At 40.0% G+C, this 7753-nt stretch overlaps 1 annotated feature.

The window, feature by feature from the left end:
- Positions 329–378: an enhancer, noted in NCBI's record as "active region_7652". NCBI's record gives its function as "activates an Ori minimal core promoter by ATAC-STARR-seq in GM12878 lymphoblastoid cells {active_cell/tissue: GM12878}" and the evidence as "EXISTENCE:reporter gene assay evidence [ECO:0000049][PMID:35858748]".

Here is a 7753-nt window from a genome sequence, read left to right on the forward strand (position 1 = left end):
CAACACCCTGTTTCCCCCAGCCCCACTTCCTTCGCTTCAATGCCATTAAGCATGGTTGCAGCGCCTTTGTGAATGTTTTGAGTAGAGTTAGGTTTCTGGTGTTTATTGTTGAATTGCTAAAGATTTGGAGAGAAGACAAACAGACAAACAGACATACAATGAAGCAGATGACAAACACCCCTGGACAGACTAGCACTATGAGCAGACACGCTCAGGACGACCCAGGGTCCTGCGGAGAGGTCCGGGAAGGTCTGGGCTCTCATCAGAGCCCCAGGATTTGGTCAGTTGCTCTGCAAATAAAACCTGCCTTAGACATCCAGCAAAGAGGCTTTATTTGCATAGGAGATTTGCCAGTCTGGCCTCCAAGATAGTAGGTCACAGTGAGGGTGGTGGTGAGTTTTCCTGTTTACTGTCTACCTTTGTGGACACATTGAATGTGGGGGCTGAAAGGGGTCAGCAAGGGCTGTCTCCTCTCCTGTTTTCAGATTTGGTGTCTCAGTGAAATCCAGTGCTTTGCCTCTTTGATTGTGCTCTGTCTCAGTGCTTCTCAATAGCATGTGATGTGCAGAGAAGTAAAAGAAATGAACAAAGATTTCTCTTCTGAAGGTGTGGGAGGGCATGGGAGTGGGGCTGGTTGGGCTGATGATGGAAAGGTCAGATTGCATTGTGTCGTCCACAGGCTTTCCAGCTGGGCAGGAAGGCTTCCCCCTCTGACTGCATCATGGCACTTCTTGTACATACTCACTTACCCACAGAAACTAAACTCCGCATGGATAGAGGCTGTGCCTATGCGGTTGGCTATTGCACACCCAGCATCACCACAGTGCCTGGCACTATCAGACTCTTCGTGCCTATTTGTTGAAATGTCTACAAATAGACTAAATACATATCAGTTGGGATGGCCTTGATTTAAAATATATTAAGCCCCATTGCCTTTGTATCTACATTTGTGTTTGCCAGAACAATCATGCTGGCTTGGGGTTTTATCAATATGGTCGTTGCATCTGTTTTCCCTTTTCTATGGTGGAAGCAGGGATAGTGGTCCTTCAAGAGCTGGGAAGAATATACATTTGAGAACAGCATGTCCAGGCAGCCTGTGATTTCCTGGGAAAATGGACTCCAAATGCTCTTCCATCCTATTTGTGGAGTCTTGTCATATGCAGGCTTCTCCATCCAGGATTGATTGTAATTCCTTGAGATCCTGGAATCCCATCTCTCCTTGGGGAGAAGTTAAAAGTTTAAAGAAACTGAAGTTACTGGATCTGGTGAGGAGGAAGTTGAATGGCCCACTTTAAGATGATAAAAGGTTACATTTTTTTGAAGATTGTGTTGGCTGCAAGACTATAAATTATAGCTTAACATAGGAATCAAGAGCCTTACAGTTTTACCTTTTCATCTAGTAATTCTTCTAGGAATATAGCCTAAGGATAACATATGGAAATCAGTGAAAGATCCATACCCAGTAAAATTCATCGCATTGTTACTTATGCGAGCCAAAAGTGGGAAACAAGTTTAATGTCCAACAATGGGCAATGGCTGAGAAAATTATGGGGTGCAGCTATTAAAGTGGGAAGTAGGACATTTTGTTGTGGCTCTTTTGATACCATGGATGTTTTCTGTCCCTAAAGAACAAACCACTGAATTTCTAAGTCAAAAAAAAAAAAAGTGATATGTTTAATTCTTGCCGTCTCTGGAACCCTAATTCTTTCTATTTTTGACTCTAACCCTCAGGAGCTTTGGGGATTGGGTGGGTTTTAGAGATAGGATGAGGCCATCTACGATTCTCATAATTTGGGATTTAGAATAAAAAGTTTAGTGATTTATTCTTAGTGCCACCAAATAACTGTGGGTGTTAAAAGAAACATGACAACCAAAAACAGAATCAAACTTCTACTTAGGAAGATTCTATTTATTGATGATAAAACGTATTTATTGATGATATTGAGATAACTTATTGAGAAATACTTATGAGATAACTTATTGAGAAATACTTATAACATCAAATAAAAGCAAGATACACATGTGCATACATTTATATACATATATACAGATATCATATACTCAATTATTAACATTGATTTTCACCAGTAAATGATTATGAATAACTATTACTTTCTTCTTAATATTTTTATATTTTTTATAGATACACATTGATTTCATATTAAAGTAATATTTTATATTAAATTAAACTTACATTAAATATAACATTATATTAAATTAAAATTATAAAAACATTTAAGATTATAGCGTGATGGAGTTTGGTTAACCATAAAGAAAAACTTATTGATGGAAAATCAAAAAGTATTTAATACTGTACTTGAAATGAGCTCCTCAGGTAAAATATGTGGCTGCTTCCTCCTTGAGAGTTATGGGGAAAGAAAGCCAATTTCTCTCCCTGAAAGTTTAATGAATGTGAGGGCTGGGCAACCCTGGACCACAGGACACCTCTTGTGTTCTAAACCCCTGTTGAATGATGGTGACACAGGAAGGACGGTTTAGTGCTGCAGCCAGAAATGGGTCACTGTCTTGCTGGGCCATGTTTTTCTTTTCTTTTCTTTTCTTTTTCTTTTTTTGACAAATGCTTTGCAAGTGAGGAGGCTCAAACACCTGTCCCAGGGTATTTATAATAATGCCCTCGCTTACTAAGTTTCCTGTTTTTCACCTTCCTTAATAAGTTCCCTCCTTGTTATCACCTTCCTCCATTCAGGTCCCCTTTCAGTATAACCCCCATTACAGATGGTGGAAACCTGAGTGGTGGGGTTGATTTACTTCTCCCACTGTTTCCTATATGTTGTATTGTACTGGTGTATGAGTCATGCTGATGAAGTAAATGATAGTTTTAGTTAACAAAACCAGAAGCAGCCTAAGCTTTCTTGCCTTGTGCTTGGCTCTGACCCTTGCTCTTGACCCGTGAGGTCCAATTTTCTCAGGGATATAGATCCAGACCAGGGTAGGCATCAGAACAGGGCAGAAGAGTCCCCTGTGGTCTTCGGTAGCCTTTGGGGTTCTCCAAACATGGCTAACTGTCTAATAGAATGGCTATAATATGGCCATCCTGAATGGTTAAAGGAATCAACTACTTGTGATGGGCAATAAAGACATCTCATCTTTCAAGTAAAATGAAAGGCAATATACCTTTCATTTCATCAATACATTTGATTATTTGGGGGCAGTACACAGAAGAAAATATTTTATGGAGCAGGTACTTTGTTCCCAGAGAGCCTGACAAACTACTACTGGGACAAGAAGAATCTGATAAGAGTTACTGTTCATGGCAGCCTGGGTTTTCCTAGGGCCAACCTTGAAAGAATTGACTTGGACTTGGGGAACCCTTCAGAGCTTCCCTGGCCTCCCTGGGGAAAGACTGGATCCTGGAGCTGTTTCCTGGGAAGACTAATTTATTCTGGGAAATGGGAGAGGAGAAAGAACAGGGAGAGGGCTATCAAGTAAATTGACACAACTTATTTGTTACATTTAGGACAAAAGAGTCCAGGAAGGAAAAATAGCTCCAACCTAGGTCAGAGAAGTTCCCTGTGTTCCTCCCGGCTGTTTATTCAAGACAGTAAAAGAGGATCCCAAGAAAAGAAGTCGTATCCCTACTAAGAAGTCTGTGGCTTTACAGAGATGGGATGAGAAAAAGTCTGTATTTGTTTGCTAGGGCTGCTATAACAAAGTACCAGGGACTGGGTGGCTTAAACAGCAGAAACTTATGTTCTCACAGTCTTGGAGACCACAAGTCAAAAGTCAAGGTGTTTGCAGAGTTGACTTATTCCTAAAGCCATGGGGAAAATGATCTGTTCCAGGGGCTCCTCTTGACTTGTGAATGGCTGTCATTTCCCTGTGTCTTCATATTGTCTTCCCTCTGTATGTGGCTGTATTCAGATTTTCTCTTTGTATCAGGACAGTCATCAGATTAGATCCCAACCTAACTACCTAATTTTAACTTAAATACCTCTATAATGACCCTGTCACCAAATATGGTCACATTCTGGGGTACTGAGGGCAAGGACTTCAACATAGGAGGGTTTTTTGTGGGGTCTAGGGGGAAGAGGTGCAAAATTCAGCCCATTGACAAAGCCCATTTATTTCAGCCTATGGTAAACTCTGACATAGGAGTATCTCCTAATCTTTAGTGCCTGTAGGTCTGAGGTCCTCAATCCTTTTCACCAGTAGGACAGCAGTGGTAAAATTCAGCCAGCAAACATTGCATGCAAGACTTCACTTTTATAGCAAGTACTGAATGAACCATGTACTCAATGCCAGCCTAGCTGGACCTGCTGTCCTTCTAAATGGAGCAATTGCAGAAAAAGCAAAGTTCTATGGTGAATCCAAACAGTCTGAAACCATGAAGCTGGGCAGTCTGGCTGTGTGGTGCAGCCCATTCATTATGGTGTGTCCTGATCATGTTTATTTGTCTAAACTCTTCTTGGTGTTGCCAAACTGCCCTCCTTGGACATTAAACAACAGAAGAGTGAGAAGCCATGCAGTTGTAGTCATCTGTGGCTGCAGGTCTATGGTGAGGAGGCCCAGCCAGACTAATAGGGAGATCTGGGACACAGGGAGCCATGCTGTGTCTCACCGGGATGGGGCCCTACAAGCCCCAGGTTCCATGGGGCACAGTTTTGGTGTGACTGGTGGGGTCCCTAGAGCCAACGGCCATCTCCTTTATCATCAGCCAAAAGTTGTTCAGGTTAAACTGATGGACTGGGGGGAGGGAGATGGGTGATGAGGAGAGGGAAACGCTCTCAAGTCCTTTCCTAAATGCCTTTTTCCTGCCCCAGACTGTGGTAAAATAGAGCAGAGACCAGCTGGCCAGCCTTGTTTGTTTAAGTTGTTGACTAATCTCTGAGTTCATGTGCTGAGCTGGTTCATGAAGTTCTTGAACTTTTATTATCCTTGGACTTCTGACACAATGAGAATGAAATAAGAAACTGCTACTATATTTAAAAGCAGCCTATAAGATTGAGTGACTTAAATGTTTGACTTTGAATCCAAAGATTCAAGGAATTAAAAAAATTGTATAATATTCACTGAGAGCTACTCTGTGCCAGGCACTTATTTGAAATATAATGTTTTAAATGCAAAATGCTAATAAGCAAATGTAAATAAGAGATTCTAGAAAGTGGATATAGATTTGCGCTCTCCATTGTGGCAGCCACATTTCAGGTGTCCATAGCCACACATGGCTAATGGCTGCCATACTGGACAGTACAGATAGAGAACATTCTCATCACTGCAGAATGTTCTAGTGGATACAGATAATGAACAATAAATATGGACTTATATAGAATATTTTTTGTTTCAAAACATTTTGCAAACTGCAGTTTATCACACCTGGAAGGGCCAGTTAAGACTGCTAATTTGTATGTCAGGACTGGAAATAACCTTAAAGATTACTGAGATTAACGACCCACCCAATGATTAATCCACTCTACAACTTCCCCACCAAGCCTCTGTCCAAGTTGGGCTTGAAAATTCCAACAATAGACATTTACCTTCAAAGGCACTAGATTTTATCTGAACTTTCTGTAGTCCAAGATGGTTAGTATAATTCAGTACATGGCTCTTAGAAATGCTAATTTTTCTTTGAAAATATTAAGAAATTTTATATTCTTATAAATGCCTTTAGAGATGAGTCATACAATTTCCATAAAAATTGTGTATAGAAAGGGTAAATGTCAAATGTAAGTGTAAATGTCCAAAATAAAATGAGGTTATGCAGTCTGCCCACTTGTCCTGCGGTGTCCTTAAGTATGTTAATAATAATAATAATAAAGAGTTTATCAGCTTAAGGAGATTTTGGGCTGAGACAATGGGGTTTTCTAGATATACAATCATGTCATCTGCAAACAGGGACAATTTGACTTCCTCTTTTCCTAATTGAATACCCTTTATTTCCTTCTCCTGCCTAATTGCCCTGGCCAGAACTTCCAACACTATGTTGAATAGGAGTGGTGAGAGAGGGCATCCCTGTCTTGTGCCAGTTTTCAAAGGGAATGTTTCCAGTTTTTGCCCATTCAGTATGATATTGGCTGTGGGTTTGTCATAGATAGCTCTTATTATTTTGAGATATGTTCCATCAATACCTAATTTATTGAGAGCTTTTAGCATGAAGGTTGTTGAATTTTGTCAAAGGCCTTTTCTGCATCTATTGAGATAATCATGTGGTTTTTGTCTTTGGTTCTGTTTATATGCTGGATTACATTTATTGATTTGCTTATGTTGAACCAGCCTTGCATCCCAGGGATGAAGCCCACTCGATCATGGTGGATAAGCTTTTTGATGTGCTGCTGGATTTGGTTTGCCAGTATTTTATTGAGGATTTTTGCATCAATGTTCATCAAGGATATTGGTCTAAAATTCTCTTTTTTGGTTGTGTCTCTGCCCGGCTTTGGTGTCAGGATGATGCTGGCCTCATAAAATGAGTTAGGGAGGATTCCCTCTTTCTCTATTGATTGGGATAGTTTCAGAAGGAATGGTACCAGTTCCTCCTTGTACCTCTGGTAGAATTTGGCTGTGAATCCATCTGGTCCTGGACTCTTTTTGGTTGGTAAGCTATTGATTATTGCCACAATTTCAGATCCTGTTATTGGTCTATTCAGAGATTCAACTTCTTTCTGGTTTAGTCTTGGGAGAGTGTATGTGTCAAGGAATTTATCCATTTCTCCTAGATTTTCTAGTTTATTTGCATAGAGGTGTTTGTAGTATTCTCTGATGGTAGTTTGTATTTCTGTGGGATCGGTGGTGATATCCCCTTTATCATTTTTTATTGTGTCTATTTGATTCTTCTCTGTTTTTTTCTTTATTAGTCTTGCTAGCGGTCTAACAATTTTGTTGATACTTTCAAAAAACCAGCTCCTGGATTCATTAATTTTTTGAAGGATTTTTTTTGTCTCTATTTCCTTCAGTTCTGCTCTGATTTTAGTTATTTCTTGCCTTCTGTTAGCTTTTGAATGTGTTTGCTCTTGCTTTTCTAGTTCTTTTAATTGTGATGTTAGGGTGTCAATTTTGGATCTTTCCTGCTTTCTCTTGTGGGCATTTAGTGCTATAAATTTCCCTCTACACACTGCTTTGAATGTGTCCCAGAGATTCTGGTATGTTGTGTCTTTGTTCTCGTTGGTTTCAAAGAACATCTTTATTTCTGCCTTCATTTCGTTATGTAGCCAGTAGTCATTCAGGAGCAGGTTGTTCAGTTTCCATGTAGTTGAGCGGTTCAGCAAAGTCTCAGGATGCAAAATCAGTGTACAAAAATCACAAGCATTCTTATACACCAATAACAGACAAACAGAGAGCCAAATCTTGAGTGAACTCCCATTCACAATTGCTTCAAAGGGAATAAAATACTTAGGAATCCAATTTACAAGGGATGTGAAGGACCTCTTCAAGGAGAACTGCAAACCACTGCTCAATGAAATAAAAGAGGATACAAACAAATGGAAGAACATTCCATGCTCATGGGTAGGAAGAATCGATATCGTGAAAATGGCCATACTGCCCAAGGTAATTTATAGATTCAATGCCATCCCCATCAAGCTACCAATGACTTTCTTCACAGAATTGGAAAAAAACTACTTTAAAGTTCATATGGAACCAAAAAAGAGCCTGCCAAGTCAATCCTAAGCCAAAAGAACAAAGCTGGAGGCATCACGCTACCTGACTTCAAACTGTACTACAAGGCTACAGTAACCAAAACAGCATGGTACTGGTACCAAAACAGAGATATAGATCAATGGAACAGAACAGAGCCCTCAGA

The sequence above is a fragment of the Homo sapiens genome, chromosome 13, assembly GCF_000001405.40.
Source record: "Homo sapiens chromosome 13, GRCh38.p14 Primary Assembly".
Classification (NCBI taxonomy): domain Eukaryota; kingdom Metazoa; phylum Chordata; class Mammalia; order Primates; family Hominidae; genus Homo; species Homo sapiens.